The 21,199-nt window shown below is 38.0% G+C and overlaps 1 long non-coding RNA gene across 2 annotated transcripts in view; it reads left to right on the top strand.

Annotated features, from left to right (window-relative positions):
- LOC105370265 (uncharacterized) overlaps positions 1–21,199 on the top strand; it is a 94,000-nt gene that overhangs the window by 22,759 nt on the left and 50,042 nt on the right. The gene's annotated exons all lie outside the window — the stretch shown is intronic.

Below are 21,199 nucleotides of genomic sequence, written 5' to 3'. Positions count from 1 at the left end.
AATGGATAGTATTTATTTATATTTTACTTATTTTAGAGCTTAATTTTAAATAGATAATACTATTTATACAGTTCAAAATTAAAAGGTACACAAAATGGTAGGTATTATAAAGCCATCTTCCTAGCCTAGACATTATATTCTCTACATTATATGGCCCATGGGGATAATAAACATTGCCAGTTTTTCTGTTATCTTTGTTGATATATTTTATAAAACCACATATAAGATATCTATATCAATCTTCTCTTAAAAACACAAATGATAGTAGAATTACTTTTTTGTCACTTGACTTTTTTCTCTCAATAATAAAATTCAGAGACCATGATATTTAGTATGTGGCCTAAATATTTTTTCTTAAACTGTATCTTAAAATTTCTGTTCTGTTATTTCATTTTCTTTTCAGAGACTCCAATTATTTATATGTTTGATCTCTGCCTTAGCCTATTTGGGGTCTTATAACAAAATAGCATGAATTGGGTAGCTTATAAACAACAGAAGTGGCCGGGCGCAGTGGCTCACACCTGTAATCCCAGCACTTTGGGAGGCCGAGGCAGGCGGATCACAAGGTCAGGAGATCGAGACCATCCTGGCTAACACGGTGAAACCCTGTCTGTACTAAAAATACAAAAATTAGCTGGGCATGGTGGTGGGCACCTGTAGTTCCAGCTACTTGGGAGGATGAGGCAGGAGAAAGGTGTGAACCTGGGAGGCGGAGCTTGCAGTGAGCCGAGATGGCGCCACTGCACTCCAGCCTGGGTGACAGAGCGAGACTCCATCTCAAAAAACAAAAAACAAACAAAACCCCCCCCCCCAAAACCCCCAGAAGTTTATTTCTCACAGTTCTGGAGGCTGGGAAGTTCAAGATCAAGACACTGGTAAATTCAGTGTTTGGTGAGGGCCCACTTGCTGGTTTATAGATGGCTATCTTTTACAGTCCTCTTATAGTGGGAGGGGAGAGGAGTCTCTCTTGGGCCCCTTTGATAAGGGTACTAATTCCATTCATGAGAACTTTAACCTCATGACCTAAGGAACACCCAAAAGTCCCAAACCCTAATACTATTACCTTGGGGTTTAGGATTTTGACATATAGAATTTGAGGGTACACAAACATTCAGATAATTGCAGTCTCCTTTACCTGTATTCCATATTATTCATTTTTTCTCTAATTGTTTTTAGCTCTTTATTTTTGTTCCTTTATTTCTACGTTTTATATCTTTTAGTGTTCATTTTTGCCAATGTTGATTTACCCTTGTGTTCTTTACAGTTTTGTTGTCACTTTCATGATGATTTTATTTTTTTCTTTTATTGTTCTTCTGATATTTGAGAGCTCCTGTTTCACTTCCGACTATTGTCTCACTAATTATTCCTTATTGCTTAGTACTCTCACTTGATAGAGCATTACACTTTATGGCCAAATTTTTACCTCATCTATGGCTTCCTTTTTCTGGTGACATTCTTTTTCTGCTATCATTTTTCCAGTTCCTATCCTCATATTACCTTTGGAGGCACCTTTTGTACATCCTTTTTGTATGTGAATCATAAAGCATAATAATGTATGACCTGTGAACCTATCTCTTAGTATGCATTCCATTTAAAATTTTCTCATGTTGAAAGAGATGGATTTTTCCTGGGCCAACATTTTGGGGGAATGATGGGAGGAGGAGGCGTGTTGCATTCTAGTCTGGATGGATTTTTTTCTTATTATCTAGAATTTTATAACTTATTTTGCCTTTACTCTGGACCAAAACAGATAGATAGGCTGCTGTAGTTTTTGTTCTTTTTCATAATGTAACACCTCTCTTCTCCCTGTCTCCAATTATAGGAACAGACAAAGATGGCTTATTTGTGCCATTCTTCATTCAGTTCCTGCTTCTTTTAGATGAGAATAGGTATAGAGAAAATGCTGTCATCCTGTGCACCTCTATCCTACTGGAAATAGAGGGTATACCTCATGTACCCTTCACTTTGAAAAAGCCTACTTTGTTGGCTTTTTCTCAGATCTGCAGTCTTAGTGACCTATTACTCTTCTCTATGCTTTTGAAAGTTTTTCATTTTATTTGGATTTAACTATTTTCTACTACTGTTCAAAATGGATTTTGCTTTTCTGTTTCTTATTCTCCTTGGTACTTCTAGTTGATTTCCAGGAATGGTGGGGTGGTGATGGTGGTGGTGGGGAATTCTGACTTTATACCATCTTTATCAAACCTGAAGTTACATTTTAAATTTTTTTTGTGGTGCTCATGTGTAAAATATTTGTAGTCCTTAGGTTCACCCTAGGGTGAACTAGGCTGGATCAGGTGGCTAGCCTCCATATTCCTTCTTTCTCCTTAGACCATGTCCCCTCCTTCATTCACTTTACAGAAATTGTTGTGCACGCTATTACATGTCAGGCACTGCAATAAGCACTGGAAAACAAAGACTAAACCAAACGTGAGTTCTATCCACACAGAACTTGTAAGAGGTTATGACAATTAAACCAACAGAAGCAGAGCTTTCTAAAACAATTTTTTGATGGGAGACTGATGTCTATTAAACATAAATAGAGATATATGCTGATGCTATAGAAGAGAGGTTCCTGAAAAACAGGATGCATTGGGATGCAGAACACAGAGAGGATTAACCTTGGGTGGAGAAGTCAGTGGCAGCCTAGTGGGAAAAGCATAGGCTCTGGAGACTAATTCCCTCCATTCAAAACTGACTTTTGCTCCTTCCCAGCTGCATGAACTGGGGAAACTACTGAGCTTCTCTATGCCTCAGTTTCCTCATGTTTTGCTCACAAAATGAGACTATGTAATGCATAGTTGTATATAAACCACAATAAAAAGCAGCATAGTAGAATGCTTAAGAACATATATTTTGGAGAAGGTTGCTTGTCTGACCTTGGATACATTAGCAAATGTTCTTGTGCCTCAGTTTCTTGATTTATAAAATAGGGGTGATAATAATGTCTATTTCATAAGATTGTTATGAGACTTAAATGAGTTACTGTATTTAAAGTGCTTCTAATGTTGTCTTGGAGATAAAACAAACCATGTAACTATGCCTGGAAGGTAGTAAGCACCATCTAAGTATTTGCCAAATAAGGCATTTATCATCATACCCGAAATATAGAAAGTACTAAAACATAGTAGCTATTATAGCAGAAGGGGAAAAGTAAGTAGGTTTTGTGGCAGGAACCTGGAGTATTTCCTGTGATAGCTTCTATAGGCAGTCTACTTTTGAGAGGGAAGGAACAGATCAGAGGTTTAGGGAGAAAGGAGAAGATTTGAAATAGCTGCTGTTGAGTTAGAAAAAAAGAGATGGCTGAACCGTGTTGCCTAGTTGAGGTTAAATAACGCAATGACTCATAGAGGTACAAATACAAGCATCTGTCTTGTTTTATATAGCAATACTTGGTGGCCTGGTTCTAGGCACAGACAAGGCAGATTGATATGAGGCTGCAGTTCTCCCAGATGTGACAGAACAGCATCAGGGCAAAGAATTCAAGAATGTTGGCAAAAGGTGGTTAAAGCAATAGACCATAAAGACTATGTTGAGTAGGGAAGGAAATAAAGAGAGGAGGAAGTAAAGAGTGAAGGCACAGAGTTCCAGGTGAGGTAGAAATGCAATTGTAGTGGCAGCAAGTGAATGAGATGGATGGAGAGGAAAAAAAGTCCCTTGGAAATGCACACTGAAGAAAATAAGAAAGCATTTCTTCATAAGGAAGAATAAGTTTAATCTACCCATTTCAGTCATCTGTAGGGCAGAGACAGCTTTAAAGTGGGAGTAGCCTCAGGATCATATTATTTGCAACATTAGAGGTAGAGTGGGAAGAGAGGTCTCCAAAGAAAATGGTTCTTATGGGCTCAGAGGTCTAGCCATTTTACTTTTTCATGTGCAAGCCCTACTCTCTAGCATGGCAGACCATTGAGAAGAGTGACTTTCAGGGTGGCGTATATGTGTGTGTGGGAGGGTGTGAGAACATGGAGAGAGTTAGGAGAGTAGCCCCTAAAGGTGATCAATGTTCTTTGAGATCAAACAACCAAGAATTTTAGAGAAGACACTGCAGTCATAATGCTGTTGATGCAAGCAAACGTCTTACAAAAAATGAGACTTTTCTAGATTCTATGATGAAGGTGGAAGGTCTGCATTAAATCTGGGTCAGTATCATGTATTATACTCCTCAGTAAACCTACATTATGTTGTATATTAAACAGAGCCTTTTAAAATAACTAACATTCCTTTTGCTGTGGAATGTATCCATTTCCCTTGAGTTGACATGTCTGATCTGTGAGGCTTTGGGCCTTTGCCTTGCAGTTGCTTTATATGGGTGGGATCCAAATGCATGTCAAATTGAATATTGCTAGATGTTGAGAGTTTAGGAGAAAATAGGCAGGGGTGAAATATCTCTGAGTTATAGTTGAAGGTCACTGTGGCAATTTGATTCAATTCAATTCAACAATTATTTACTGAGTGTTAACTCAGCATAAGTCAAGTGGTTTAAATAGAGTGGTCACTGAAGAGTGGTCACTGCCCTTGTGAGGCTCACAACTAAGGGACAGGACAACCCATTCCAACTTGCCTGCAATGTATCTTCATCTTCTGTCATAAACTGTAGGGTTATATAAGGTTTCTTAGAATTCATTAATTGAATCATCTGTTCATTCAATACATTTTGTTTGTTTGTTTTGAGTTCTGTGGTATGTCATGCACTGGTGGTTGGAAACTCTTGATCAGCTCCTGTGACGTCCAGATGAACAACCTGTCATCAATATAATTTCCTAAGATTCTAAGAGTTAAATAGGGTTTGTCTTCTTTAAGTCACCCAAGACCCCAAAGGTCTATGTCCTCTCCCAGGAATAGAAACACTGTTTGTGATGGTGTCTTCATCGTTTTTTGGTACCTTCTATCTGCATGCCATCCTAGTGACCCTCAGAGATCATGTTTCAGAACCATGGAAATTTACAGGAATTAGAAAGCTTGGAATTAGAAGAACTTGGTTTGAGTCCGGTTCTTCCGTGGTCTAGCTGTGTGTGATCTTGGTAAATTGCTTAGCTTTTCTCAATCACCATGGTTCTCATCTTTTCCACAACAAGCTTATAGATATTATTCTATCCATTTTACATTAAAAAATCTGAGGCTTAGCAAGGTTAGGTAATTTTCCCATGAGCCAGGGTTCAAATGCATGAAGTCTGACTTTGGTGTCCATGCTTAAATACTCCTTTATGTATGTCAATTATGAAGAGTTGAACACACTATCTGGTACATAGAACATACTCAATAAAATATAGCTGTTATTTTGGCTATCATAACTGAGAACAAATACAATGGAAATATTTGCTAAAGGTGGAAACAAAACTGCACCAGTTATTTTGGAATAAGGAATCTTTTGTATTTGACCTTGGACCCCAACCACATGTAAGACTAACCTTGACTAGAGTGGCAAATGTCATTTATAATTGAAGGACCTAATTTTTATAATTCTATTTCTGCTGTAATGAAAAATTACACTTTTGACATTTTCAATTAATGCTCTAGATAGCCCTGTATTGACATATATTGTACTAGGACCCTTAAACCAAGAGCTAAAATAGAGAGATGAATCCTTAATCAATGAATTACAGATCCTGGTAAAATGTTAAATTTAAATAAAACATCCACAATTAGTACTGTTTTGAGGTCTTTAAGAATGTTTATATTCTACATGTACTAAATAATAGGGCTAAATGCATGTAGATTTTCATAAAGGCAACACCTATGAAAATCTTTGCCTAATGTTGCACTATTATGTTCAGTATGGAGAGATGCAGTCTAATTTTCTTATAATTTCCTCCCCTATCTTGCTAGCATTTTGTAGGTTAATCCTTTGTTAACACAGCTTCTTAGAGTGCTCTTGTTTTTCACTCACAAGTATTATTTTTTTCTTTATCTACCATAGAAAGATTGTCCTCATTCAGTTGCATTTAGGTAGGAAAGAGATGTTCAAATGCCATGTTTAAGAATGTCTTTCCCTTTCTTCCCCATTTCATTCTGTTCAAGTTTTCTGCTGTATCTGAAATAGCCTCTAAGTCCCCGGGGATGATGAAAAAACAATTTTATGGCAGAAGGTAGAAGAAAAACTATTGTAATTTTTTTTGTATGTGTGTGTGCTTATTTTTCTTTTTCTGAGACAGGGTCCTGCTCTGTCACCTGGGCTGGGGTACAATGGCATGATCCTAGCTCACTGCAGCCTTGAACTCCTGGGCTTAAGTAATCCTCCCTTCCTCAGCCTTCAGAGCAGCTGGAGCTACAGGTATGTACTACCATGCCTAGATAATTTTATTTATTTATTTTTTTGTAGAGACAGGGTCTTGCTATGTTGCCCAGACTTGTCTCAAACTCCTGGCCTCAAGTGATCCTCCTGCTTTGGCCTCCCAAACTGCTGGGATTACAGGCATAAGCTACCATGCCCTGTCCATTTTTTGTATTTTACAACAGAGGATGAAACTTCATTTTTAATTATAATTTTGACCCAAATCATCTTGTTTATGTAGACAAACAGGTCAGTGACTTGTCCACATATCTATCCTCACAAGTCGCTGGGGTGGGCAAACAGCTTGTGATATGTCCAGCAAAATATGTGTTCTGTTTGATTTTCCACAGAAGTATGAAAATCCAATTTAGATAATATCCATTAATGGGCCCATTAAAAAGAATGTTCTTAACCTTCACCAAGTAAAGAAAAACTTATTCAAGGGCTGCTGGCAACACTGAGCTACGGCTTAGGAGATTTTCACCAGCGTGTTGTTAAGATTCCAAAGTGTGGAAGGACAATGAAAAATGCAAATTGGAACCAAAATATTCCAGGTTTTGAATGAAGAAGAAAAACTTATTGCTCCACACTTACATGAACACTTATAAACATGCAAGAAAAATAGTTTGTGTTTTTAGAGGATGTGTCAGTTCTTTGAGCTGAGGGAAGTCAGATTTTAGGCCTGGGACCTAACTGGAATCACTTGTTACTCATAATTTAGTATTTTACTTTTTTGCAAAGTTCATTACCTTTCAAAGTCAAATAAAAATTTTAAAAAATAGAAGACATCCTTGTTTTGCAGCACTGTAAATTAGAATGTACTATGGATTTTGTCAAAAGCAAATGAGAGTATTTGAAAATTTGTTTAAGATACTCTGCTGATGTGTACTCTGGTATATCATCCTTTAAATATTTTTTCTAAGTGAATTTAGACAAATTGACAAATCAGAAATTTTTTTTGGGAACTTGTTAAGAAACTCCAAAGTTGTACCTCTTAGTGTATATTTATTGAAAATTGCAAGAGCCAAGAAAAGGAGAGTTTATTTGGAGTCTCAGAATATATAATTAAATCACTCTGCTTTGTTTCATAAAAGTGACTGAAGACTAACAGAATCCATTTCTATCTCTAGTATGATGCTGTTCATGATAGAGACAATTCATATGATATAGAAGTTAATCTTCCCAATGAAAAAATGTTATAAAGTTTTCTGCTTCTGTTACTGAATCACGATTTTTTCATGTTTTTCTCTCCAGTGCATTTATCCTTACTAGAAAACTCTATCAGAAACCCCCAATCATCTGAGTAGGTAGACAGCCATAAAAGTAACCACATGCTTTATTAATGATGGGGGAAATGGCAGATTAACTTCTTTCTTAAAAACTAAAAGGCATCTAATAACATGTGCTTTGATTTTACCCAGGTATGAGGGTCTGGAAAATTTCTTATTTAAATATACGGGTATTTTTATGGGGCCTTTTAAATCTTTGCCTTAATACTGTAGTTTCCTCCATATGTTTACTGTCAACTAACAGCTTAGAACTGATAAGCCATGTGGAAATGTTTTGTAAAGCTGCGGTTCTTCTTTGTGACTACTGCTTCTTTTATTAAAGTCGAACTTCTTCCAAAAAAGAATGCAATTTGTTTGCATATTCTTGTCTGCAAAATATGGCCAAGTATGGGTACCTTTTACATGATAGGAAAGAGGGTTTAGTTAGGTGTCTTTTAGTGTGATTAGAATGGATGTGACATGCACATGCTTGTGTTTTGGGAAGATCACTGGCTGCAGTGAGGGAGATGAGATGAGGTTGGAGCCAGGGAGACTAAAATGGGGAGAGTTACACAATCCCTGGGAGAAATAGTGATGGACTGGATGGAGGCAGTAGGAGGGAAATGGGGAAGAGGGAACAGAATTCAAGAATGTCCTGGGAAGTAGATTCATTGGAAGGGTGTACCAGGGAGGAAAAAGGATTTATTATGATTCAAGCATCTTCCTTGGTTAATAGTAAATCACATTCCTGGAGATAGAGAAAGCAGAGGAGAGGTACCTTTTGATACCTGCACATGGTTGGCCTCACAAAGTGCTGGGATTACAAGTATAAGCCACCATGCCAGAACTATATGGAAGCACTTTCTAGGAGCAGAAACACAATGTGAGATGCAACTACCTCTATGTGTCTTCAGCTGCCTCCCCATTAGAGAGAGCTGTTCTGCCCAACATTTAAGAAGTTATTTGTGTTTGGAGAGGATGAGGGCTGGATGAAGGCACTAGATGGCTTCTAAGATTCCTTAAAGTCTGAGAACTTGTGATTTTGAGAAAGTGGTTTGAAAAATTTAAGCTCAGCTTCAAGAAGACAGGAAGTACCACACTATAGTGACAGAACACACATGCACAGTGAGGAAAAATGGAAATTCCCCTTCATGTTCTCCCCAAATTGTGACAGCATAGTCCCCCTCTCACCACATTGCAATATTCAGGTACAGACATTATGCATTATGTGAATTAACCATTCTGAGGAATGATCAGACAACTTTGCACTGTTACCCTATTTGTATTTGAAAATATAGTTATGTTTATAGTTGTTTGTAGTCTGATTCTTATTCTAAATATTATTTTCCAGCAAAGATATGATGTTTCATAATACAGATTTGTGACTCTACTAATTCTACATCAAACTTGAATATATGTTAGAAACGTTCGCTCTTATTGTGGGACCACAATGCCCTATCTGTTGTACCAAAGAGGACTTGGACAGGAGTATCCATTGTTCATGGGGAATTCTTAGGAATATATTCAATGGAAATAACCAAATGTGTCGGTCACATTTGATTCTATCACAGTCAGGCAGGTGTGGCAGGGTCAAAAAGGGTATAACTTATTTTACAGAAAAACATTTTTGATGGGACATGTAGATTCAAATTAGCATGTTGGGATTAGAACTAGTAGACTTGACTGAAAGTCGGAGGGGCTGTTTATATAATTTCTTCTTCTCGAATACATGGTCTTTATTATACTAAATTACAATTTGCATCATTCAAATGCAAATGAATTTTCAAAAGCCCTGTGTGGGCTTCACGTAATTCTTTTGGGCAAGCATTGCTCAATGTTTCACTTACTCGAAAAGGATTCAGTGATTCAACTGATTCCATGAAAAAAAAAGTGAATTTGAAAGTGCTGTTCATATTGGAAGGGATGGTATAATCATATCAAATTCACATCTGGTTTTATTTTGCTGACTGTTTCTCCTCTTGGCTTTCCTAAAGTATATGTGCCCTATGGGATATAATGCTCTTTACTTGACTTTCCCTTATTTCCCGGAGTCTGATTCTTCTCAGAGTTATGCTCCCAATTAAATATTGACTATAAAAGTAAGGAACACAAAGGAAAGTTTTGAAAAGCATAACAAACTAACAATGCTATTATGGAAATGTGGGAATTCATTCAACAGTAACACTTCATTTTTGGCCTTAATGAACCAATCTTGCAGCAGACCAAAGTGCTCATAATGCAGGTCACTTTGTAAGTCACCAAACCTCCCTTAGCAGTTTATTTTAATGTCTTTTGTTCTAGCAGGAAGGAAAATAGTCCCACAGCTTTTAATACTCTCCAGCTGTTCATTCGTAAAGACTTCAACATGAAGCTTATAGGGAGAAAATTGTGTACTTGGTTTAAATTCTACAAGAGACTCTAAAAAGGCCTGAAGTTCTTCAGCCTCCACTCTCAGGATTTGTACCTTTCTGATCAGCCCAATGACACTTACATTGCTTCACAGGGCTTTACTGTGGTGATTCTTTGGTCACCAGTTCAGGTTACTTAGGGAACAACTAGGAGGTGTCAGATATTCTTCAGATTTTTTTCTGAACAGGTTTTATTTTTATTGTTATTTTTTTCAAGTGGAGAACATGATGTTGTTCTAGGCAAGTCTTATGAAACATCCATCATGAAGGCTGTTTCATGATAAAAAGAGTGCATGGGAGAAATAAGTTTGAGAAATAAATTTAGAGCTTAGAATTAGAAACAGCCTGTTAAAGGGTGCTATGGTCTGAATGTGAAACTTAATCACCAACTTGATGGTATTCAAGTGTGGGGCCTTTGGGAGGTGATTAAGACATGAAGATGGAGCCCTTATGAATGGCATTAGTGACCTTATACAGGGAGCTGTTCACCCCTTCTGTCCTTCCACCTCTTCTTCCATGTGAAGACATAACATTTGTCCCTTCTGCCTTTTCCATTATGTAAAGATGTCTTAAAACAATGCCATCTATAGATCAGGCCCCCACCAGACACAGAATCTGCTGCTGCCATGATCTTAGACTTCCCAGCCTCCAGAACTGTGAGAAATAAGTTTCTATTGTTTAAGAGTTACCTAGTCAAATGTGTTTTGTTATAGTAGTAGGAATAGACTAAGACAGAGGGTCTGAGAAATTCTGTGGTAAAGAAATCCTGCTTAACTCTGCTTAAGCCAGTAGCAGAGCACAGTATTTAAGAGCACCAGGTTTGAATACAGGACAGACTTGGTCTCAAATCAATCCCAGATTCAGTGTTAGCAATGAAACCTGGCCAAGTTACTTCCCTGTACAATAGGAATTCCCAGCTGTGCAAGGGGATTAATAAGACCCATCTCACTGGCTTATTGTAGAAAGTATTCTATAATGTAGAATAAAACATTTGGCAAGGTGCAGGATCATAGTCAGTATGAATACTCATTTTTAATACAATGTTATCTTATTTGACTGTATGACTTTTTGGGGCAACACATAAAAAACTGCTCTACTAAGGGAATATGATGAGAAATGCTAGTCCGGCAGACTGATATTGGCATCAATACTTTCAAAGAATGGAGAGGGCCAGGACTGCTTATATCATGTGAATTCTCTACTAAATTGGCTGATACCTTTCTCGTAGTGCTGTCTCATGGGCAAAAAAATTACAGAATTTTTAGCAAATTAAGTAAAATTGGATTTAAAATGAAATATACAGAGGTTATTATAAGGCCTATATTCTGTCTTGAATATCAAAAGCTAAGTTCTAGGATATAAATGTCCAGAAAGAAGCCTCAAGAGAATGAGAAAGAAGAGAAATTTGTTTCCTTATGTCAAGAAGAAATTCATGCAAAATTTTAACACCTATTGAAAGAGGATTGGAGCCATCTGTTTTTTCATGTTTAATCACTTTTAAAGGTTATTTTTAATCGACTCAATAAGTGCACATATACAGTGTGATATTTCAATACAATGTATACAGTGTGTAATGATCAAATTAGCATAATTAGCAAATCTATCACCTCAAACATTTATTTATTTATTCATTTATTTATTTGCGTTGGGGACATTTAAAATCCTCTATTCTAGCTTTTTGAAAATATGCAATGAATTGTTAACTAGAGTCATCCTACAGTGCTAAGGGACGCAGAACTACTTATTTTTCCTATCTTTCTGTTATTTTGTGTTTGTTAACAAACTTCTCCCTAGCCCCTCCTCACTATCTTTCACAGTCTTTAGTAACCACTATTCTATCCTCTATTTCTATGAGATGAAAAATTTTAACCTTCACATATGAGTGAAAACCTGTAGTATTTATCTTTTTGTGACTGGCTTATTTCACTTAACATAATGTTCTCCAGGCTCATCCATGTTCTGACAATTATGGCTGAATAGTATTCCATTGTGTGTATGTATCATTTTCTTTATCCATTCAACTGTTGATGGACACTTAAGTTGATTCCATATCTTGGCTGTTGTAAATAGTGCTGCAATAAACATGGGAGTGCAGGTATCTTTTTGACATACTGACTTCCTTTTCTTTGGATAGATATCCAGTAGTGGAATTGCTGGATCATATGTAATTGTATGTTTAGTTTTCAGAGGAAACTCAATACTATTTTCCCTAATGGTTTTACTAATTTACATTTCCACCAACAGTGTATAAGAGTTCCCCTTTCTCCACATCCTTGACAGCATTGGTTATTTTTTGTCTTTTTTATAATAGCCATTCTAGCTGGGGTGAGATGATATTTCATTGTGGTTTTGATTTGCATTTCTCTGATGAGTGATGGGTATTGTTTTATATACCTGTTGGCCATTTTTGTGTTTTCTTTTGAGAAATATCTGTTCAAATCATTTGGCCATTTTAAAATTGGATTATTTTGTTGTTGTTACTGAGTTGTTTGAGTTCCTTGAATATTCTGGATATTAATCCTGGAGCCAAGTCATCTTTTAGAACAAAGATGAAGTAAATTAAACATTGAATCATCAAACTAATAATCAGCTCATCATTAATAAGGATCTTGTGGGTAATTGGTTTTTGAAAACATTTGAATTGTAGGAAAGTTTGTGTTTAACTCCAGTAACTGCTCTTTTCATTTTCTTCTCGCCCTCTGAGGTACCCCCACCCCTTTCCTTAGTTCCTCCTTACCCTAAGCACTTTCCTCAGATGAGATAAAACCAATTGAGACCTGCTTTTAGTTAGCTCAATTTTTGAAAGGATCTGGCAATTAATTCATGTATAAGTATAAAGCAGGGTTTCTCAGCCTCTACTCTGCTGGCAGTTTTGCCTGGTTAGTTCTTTGTTGTGGGGGGCTGTCTTGTGCATTGTAAGATATTTAACCAAATCTCTGGCTTCTACCCACTAGATACCAATAGCTTTCTTTGTCCTAGTGGTGACAACAAAACTATCTCCAGATATTGCCAAATGATTCCTGGAGGGCAAAATCCGTCTCCTCTCCAATGAAAACAATTGAGTACGAAGATTTTTTACAACAGTTAAATCTGTACCACTGTCTGAGTTAATTTCTCCTTTCATCATGTGTAGTTTCTTAATTACCAAAGACAAAACTCTGAACAGTAAATCATTTACAACAAAGAGGTCAGGGAAGGATGGCTTTGTACTCTAGGTAATCATATTGGTGACATGGATATCTCCTTTATTTACCAAGTAGGCCAAATCTATTAGAGCAAGTAAACCTCCCCCTCAGTTAATGACTTCAGACAAGGCTTGAGGCTTCATCTACATTCATATTAAATTTTGAGTTCCATTTCCCATCCTTCACTGCAAATATTTTTAATGGTTGAGCATTAAACAATAAAAAGGATTTCCACTAGTCAATTGGACTTGGTCATTAATAAAGCAGAATGGATTGGCTGGTAGCTTTTGTCCTTAATAACTGAATTAGGTATATTATTTCAACAAACCATATTGCAAAACAGCTCTTCTAACAAAGGCAAAAAATAAATTCTAAATGGGTGATATTTCAGGGTATCTCTAAATACACATTTGGCATTGAATCCAAAAGAAGAGCGGCTGAGGTCCAAAGACTGCTGTTTTTTTCTTCAATTTGCATTTGGCTTTGTGGGTTAGATCTTTCTGCATGCATGTTTCCCCCTTTTTTGCTCCTCAGTTGTGGTTCTTCTCTCTGAACTTTTGCTTAACAAAGAGGAAAACGTACTGTGCAGTAAAAACATTGGCTGTAAATCATTTTAGCTATAAAATGTAGCTGCTTGGAGCCCAGTAATTGGGCCTGTGGTTCTGAAAATAAGGACTGCCAACAACTGAATGTGTTGTTTAATTGGTCCACAGGGAGAGACCCTGAGAGTGTCCAAGAGATGGTTTTTGACTTCCTATTGTTTTAGTTTTTCCATGGGACCTGCAGGATTCCCTTGCTAACCGTTTACCACAACTGGCTGTTTATTCTGTGTGGTAAAATACCACTGGCACCACAGAATTCATAGCACTGACAGAAGGGGAGTCTTTCAAAGGCGTGCATGCTTGGCAGGCAAAAATATGTGCACTTTGTAGATTCAGTGCAAAGTAACTAGGAACATTTCTTTACGATCTCAGTGTGGCTTGGGACACCAGCCACAATGTTATCTGTGAAGCCCAGGTTGGTGCGAATGTAAAATCCTTAAATTGGTCACAGAGCAAATAATTAATTTACTTTAGATATCTAAAATTTGCCCAGAATTCTCATTGCTCCATGAAATCCATCCTTTAAGAATGAGGTTGTATGCTATGTAAATGTGCTGATTTCAAGTAAAAATCGCGAAAGAAGAGCATGACCTGATATGTGTTTGAATGATTTGTTCCTTGAAGTCAGATTTTAAGGAGATAGTTCTTTCTCTAAAGTTTGGAAATATAAATTCCCTGTGATAAGAATAGGGTTTAGTTCTCCCTCCGTTTTGCCAAACCTGACAGAATACGTTAAAATATAACCCCGCATTTATCTCTTTTAATTAGTAAATGTGAATTCTGAGATCAAAAAGTGTAGTCCTGAGGATGTTGGGAGTGTCCATTCTAGAAGCAAAGGGAGAATCTGGGGAATGCAAAGAGGGAGTGAGCTGAGCCCATGGCTAAAGATCAACCCCTTTCCCTTGGATGTCTGTGGAGAGCAACAGTGCTTGAATACTGCTCTCCTCTCCTAGGTGTTGGAGTTTGAAATCTCTAGCAGCCAGCATCATAGGACACTCACTCAAAGCAGACTGAACTGGTTATTGGGAGTCATCACCTTCCTATTATTCCTTCTAGTAACTGACAGGCTGAAGGAAGCCTCAGGAACGTTTCTCCAGAATAATGGCCAGGTGTGTGAGTCAGCCCTATGCAGAATGGAGCATAAAGAAGAATAATTCTTTTGGATGAAATAATAGAAATCCTATTTAAAGTAGCTAAACTGAAAGGGGGAAATTTATTCACTGGGACTGAGGTGCCTCACTAAATATAAGGACGAGAATTCAGTCAGGACTGAGGAACTTGAGGCAGGGACTCATACAGCACCAGAATGTTCTCTCCAGTCCTGGATTCTGCTTTTTCCTGTTCAACCATGTTGTCTTTTCTTTATTTGACCATTGGCTTTCTCTGCTCATTGTTTAGCCAGAGCGTGAGGCATGACAGATAACAATATCCAAACTGTTTTTCTTCACTGTCTCAAATCTCTTCCTGGTCTAGTTTGGATTAGAAAGGCAACACTGCCCAAATGAATAGGATCAATGGTGGGTGTCATACTTCCAACAGGGTGGCTCAGGCATTAGCCTTGGGACAAAGTAAGAGGAATGGTTCCTAGTAGGAATGATATCATAAGTGTCCACAACATAATCCAAATCACAATCAGATGAGGGGGAAGAAAAAAAAAAAATCTGTGATTCCATGAAGGCTTACTATCTGTAAAGAAAGAAGTAAGGAAATATATCAATCACTTCACAGTTCATTTGGGGGCTATTGGGCTGGTGATATGGTTTGGCTGTGTTCCCACCCAAATCTCTCCTTGAATTGTAGTAATCCCCACGTGTCAAGGGTGGAGCCTGGTGGAGATAATTGAATCAAGGGGGCAATTTCACCTATATTGTTCTCCTGGTAGTGAATAAGTCTCAGGAGATCTGACAGTTTTAAAAATGGGAGTTCCTCCGCACAAGCTCTCTTCCCTGCCACCATGTAAGACATGCCTTTGCTTCTCCTTTGTCTTCTGCCATGATTGTGAGGCCTCTCCAGCATGTGGAACTGTGATTCTATTAAACCTCTTTTTCTTTATAAATTACCCAGTCCCGAGTAGTCTTTATTAGCAGCATGAGAACAGACTAATACAGCTGGCCAAGTCAGAAATGGCTCATATGGGAAGGAAAGAGTTGAATCTGGCCTGGAAAGATTTGCCAAATCTAAAGAGGTGTAGGAGAGAGAAGGATTTCCAGGTAAGGAAAAGGCCACAGGAAAATAGGCCAGAGGCGCTAATGAACTCCCATTGGTGGCAAGGGGAAAACAGCTTGATTGTATCTAGCTATGACTATGGAAGACATGTAAGATTACTTTGGGTAATTACGGTGGTGCCAGATTGCAGAGGACTTTGCAGGTGGGCAGAGGATTTAGGTTTGGCAAGCAATAGTGAAACAGTAAAGATTTTCAAAGAAACAGTAATATGATAAAAATGAAATTTTAGAGGGTGAGTGCACAATGTATGAGATGTACTATATCAAGACGTTGAAGGCAGGACGGCTTCCTAGGAGATAGCTTTGGAGTTCAGCATAAAATAAAGATTCTCAGACCTCATCCCTGCTGTCGAATCAGAATCTCTGAGATTAGGGCTGGGAGTTTCTAGGCTTGAAAATTCCTCAGGTAAAAATTACTCAGGATATGCCTAACTGATTCCTGATCTGCTATTTGTTGGCTTGAGCAGTTACAAACTAAAAATGTTTATAGAAAAACTATTATCCTTTGAGAAACACAGTGAATTCTTTAGTAATTGGAGGAAAAGGAGAGAAGAAAGTAATACATAATCCCAATTCTTAGTTAAAGACCAACAACAACTCTTAGCAACCCAGTTTCCCCCGTTTTTATTTATTTAATCATTATTTTATTTTGTTATTTCAAATAATGCAGTGATTATCTTGGAACCCACCAACCAAAAACCAAAGCTGGCATCCTCACAGTTACTAGGCCTCACCTGTTACATGGCTTTGTCCTCACCTCATTGTCTGGATGTTTACCCACCAAAGGCAGCCATCACTCTGAATCCCATATTCATCATTCTCTTGCTTTTTAAAAAATATAGTTTATTGTATTTATATAGTTTTTCTACAAAGTCTATGTAGTTTTGTTTTAATGATGTTTGACTTTATAAAAAGAGTAGCATGCTGCATGCAGTGTTTTGGTGCTTACTTCTGAATCTTACTATTACATTGCGAAAACTGTTCCATATTGTTGGATGCTGCTGTACTTCGGGTGACTGAGCTTTTGGAGTGACTGTGGGAATGACGCACCAGGACTTGCGGTGAGATCACCAATCACCCCAACAAGCAGCTAAGAGGCACTGGGTGTTTCCAGCACTGTCACCTTCCCAGGGCAAGAGAGGAGAAGCCACACCATGGGGTGTCTTTTCAGAAAAAAAGGGAGGCCTAGCCAATGGATTTCCTGTCAACCCAAGTAGCTTAGAGGGGGCAATAGCTTTTCCCTTTTCCATACATGCAATCAGCTATACTCTTTGCCTGCCTGTTATTCAGGAAAATGGCCAGGGAAATGGGTGTTCGTCATGGTTAATGTGCAAATTGGTGAATTCACCCTGATGCCAAGAGCCAATTGTACATTCAGGCTACTTTTCTCAGATGATATATAATACATATCTATAATATCCTGCATTTATGTAACATACTGTTCTATATAGTATAATGTTATATAACATATTGCTACACACTGAGTGGTGTCCTCCAAAAATTCATGTTGAAGCCCTAACCTCCAGTACTTCAGAAGGAGACTGTATTTAGAAAGAGGTTTTTTTAAAGAGGTAATTAACATGAGGTTATTTGTGTGGGCTGTAATCCAATGTGACTAGCCTTGTAATAAGAGAAAATTTGGACACAGACACATATGGAGGAAAGCCTATAAGAACATAGCAAGAAGGCAGCCATCTACAAGCCAAGGAGAGAGGCCCCAGCAAAAACCAACCCTGCCAACACCTTGGTCTCATACTTCTAGCCTCCAGAACTGTGAGAAAAGAAATTTCTGTTGTTTATACTACCTGCTCTGTGGTATTTTATTATGACAGCCCTAGCAAGCTAATATATAATTGTTTTTATTATTACTAGTTTTAGCATAACAAAAAACAGTTCCTGTGACTAGACATCCTGGGTTCAAATTCTGGCCTCACTATTTATGAGTTTATAAGACCTTAGATCGTTCTGGTTCCTCCAAGATGGGGTAGATACATTCCTCGTAGGTCCTTTACAACTAAAAATCTTGGGCTTAATACAACACACCAGCATTGGAAGTCTTTGAAAAGCGAAAGAAGGCCGAGCTGCCCAGGACTTCAGGACCTGAGGAATGGCACTGTGGTGAGCTCCTGGGCTCTCTTATTTCCTCCTGAGTATCTTGCACAGGTGCTGTAGAAGCCTTTAAACCAGAGCCACAAACAGGCACAGACATAAAAAGCTCTGACAAAGGCCTGTTTCTAGGCAAAGGACCAGGAAGCATTTTGGCAGTACCTACCCTACTCTAGACAAATGCCAACCACCAATGGAAAAATGCCCCTCTACCCCTTACCCCCTGCTGGGCAGAAGATTCCATTCTCCTACCAGATGGTGCTAGCAGGACCAAATGAAACCAGGCTGTGCAATTCTCCTGCCAGGTTGGTGTCAGTGGGGTCCAGTGGTGATTTGAGTCTCCATCTAGACCCAGCAGCAATGAGACTTAAGTACATGCTGGGGTTCATCCGTGCTGCACTTTTTTTTCTGGTGTTAGTGGGGCCAAGTGGGGAGCTGAGCATCCACCCCCATCCAGTAGCAACAAGACAGAATTATGTGATGGGAGGCAGGCTAGTTGGTGCTCTGCTTCCCTCCCTCTCCTTACCTTGTGTCAGTGGAGCCCAGTGGGGTGGGAGTTGGTGTCCTGTTTCACCAGGAAGGTGTCACCAGAGCCGAAGAGGAAGCAGAATAGGAACAACCTATCTGCAATGAAGCAGTGTGAGTCAGTGTCCCACTCTTGCCAAGGGAGGGTTTTCAGGGCCCAGTGGGAACTTGGAAGTACACACCCACCCAACCCTTGCACTGCACTTCCCAAGGGGACTTCCTGCTAAAAACAGAAGATTCAATAGGGTGTAGAGTTTCATAATAGAATATCTACAATTCCCAGAATACAATAGAAAGTCATGTGTCATTCTAAAAACCAGGAAGATCACAACATGCATGAGAGAAGCAAGCAGATGTGGAAGTGATCAGACAAATATTTTATAGCAGTCATTATAAAAGTTCCCCAGAAACAATTAAAAAATTCTTTTGAAACAAATAAAAAATTAGGAAATCTAAGCAAAGAAGTAGCAGTCATTAAAAAAACATGAAAATTGTAGAATTGAAAAAATTCAGTAACCAAAGTAAAACCTAGCTGGATGGGCTCAGTAGCACAATGGAGATGATAGAGGACTGAACCAGTGAATTTGAGGACAGATCAATAGAATAGACTCACTATGGATAAGACAGAAAATAGGCTGAAAAACAAAGGCCTTGGAGAAGTTACTTAAATTGTCTGGATTTTATTTCACTCATCTTTAAAATGAGGAACATAATTGTAGCTATGTCAAAAACAAATTTTGTGACAATTAATTGAGATATATAATAAAGGCTTATCTGATGCAATGCCAGGCACATAGTTCTCAATAAAATTTAATCTCTATAATTATTATAATTTCCCTGGGTAGATAGCCATGTGATTTCATCTCTGTACAGTTAATTCAATTCAATAAGCATTTATTAATCACCAGCTGTACACCAGTGAGAAGTAATATTTAGGCTACATGGTCTGGTGGAAACGACATAAGGAGTTAAATTCATATCCAGAATCTGCTACTTCTCAGCTGCGTGATCTTGGACATGATTTTGAGATGCCTGTTTCCCACCTATAAAATGATCAAAGGGCCTATCTAAAAGGGCTGCTTTTTGGAAGGATTAAGGAGCATCTGGTACATAGCAGAGGGAGAAAAATATTGGTTATATTCCTTGAATTTTCATCACAGACTATTAGTTGTATTGAGGTATAATGCTATACAAAGAACTGCATATATTTAATGTATACATGTTAATGAGTTTGGACATATGTAAACACCTGTGATCCTATCACCACAATCAAGGTAATAGACATATCCAACACCTCCCCGATTTTTCTCATCAAAGATTATTTTCCCCAACCATTCAAATTTTTTGAACATATAGAAAGGTTGCAAGAATAGTATAAGAAACACTCATAAAACTTCCACTTAATCCAAGATGATTTGAACAAATAATTTGAGCATGACATTATAGTAATTTGTGAGAAGTATAAAAGAGGAGATTGGCCTCCTTCCTTTGACAAACTTTTACTCTAAATCAGAAGGTGACAACACTGAATCATAGAACTGTAAAGCTGGAAGGGGCTTTGTATATGTACAGAGAGCAAATAGCTAGAATATGTGACTCCAAATGATAATTGCTGTTCTTAGGAGTTGAGGGAGAGGTCTATGTGGGGGAAGGCTGGGTACAGAAGGTTTCTTGAAAAAAGTGCTTTTAATCAAGGCTTGGAGGAATTCATCAGCCTGGATGAACCGGTGGAGGTTGGCACCATTCCTTGCAGAGATAGAGCCTAGAACTGAGACAGACATGGTCAGGAGCTAATAGGGGATGTTATTGGAGTCCTTTCTGTTTTCTTTGGCAAACAAGGATAGAGAGAACAGTGAAAGGAAGACAGAAGACAGGCCCCAGCTTCTAAGGGACCATTTAGGAAATGACTTTGGTGTTGAATGCAGTCTGGCTAAGGGAATGCATAAGAAGCAAGTTGCCGAGCTAATTAACCCATAAATACCTCTACTCTTTGTCCCTTTCCAGGCCATAGAAATGCCTTACCCCTTTGGTTTATTAGATGTGTTGTGTCAGCAACAACTCCTCATCACACTCACATATACACTCATATTCACTTCCACACATTTTCGTACATACATATTCACACATTCACTCACACTTACACTCTCCTACACATACACTCACATGCACAATCATACAGGCACACATATACTCACAAGACATACAAATGTACATAAACATACCCTACACACACAAGCAGTCACACCCATACTCATATCCCCCACCATATATACATAAAAACATGTGGACAAGTCTTCTTTGAAATGTCCCAACATATTTATTTTCATGTGACATACTTACTAATATGTGGACAATTTTCATAAATTAAGCTTAAAATGGTAATATAATTTACTATTTAGTTAAGGGTGAATCTCTACCAATAATAAGGTCATATATAAAACCACCTTCCTCCATATCCCCCCAAACACTTAGAAAATGTTACTAAAAATGTTAAAACACAGAAACAACAGATTTTCATTTTAAAGTAAAATTGATAGCATCTTCCCAAACTTTCCTGGCACTGTACCGTTCTTGTCACTATTATACAACAAAACCAATTACCAGATCCA

Source organism: Homo sapiens, chromosome 13, assembly GCF_000001405.40.
Source record: "Homo sapiens chromosome 13, GRCh38.p14 Primary Assembly".
NCBI classification, from domain to species: Eukaryota; Metazoa; Chordata; class Mammalia; order Primates; family Hominidae; genus Homo; species Homo sapiens.
This window is presented reverse-complemented; position numbering and strand designations above follow the sequence as displayed.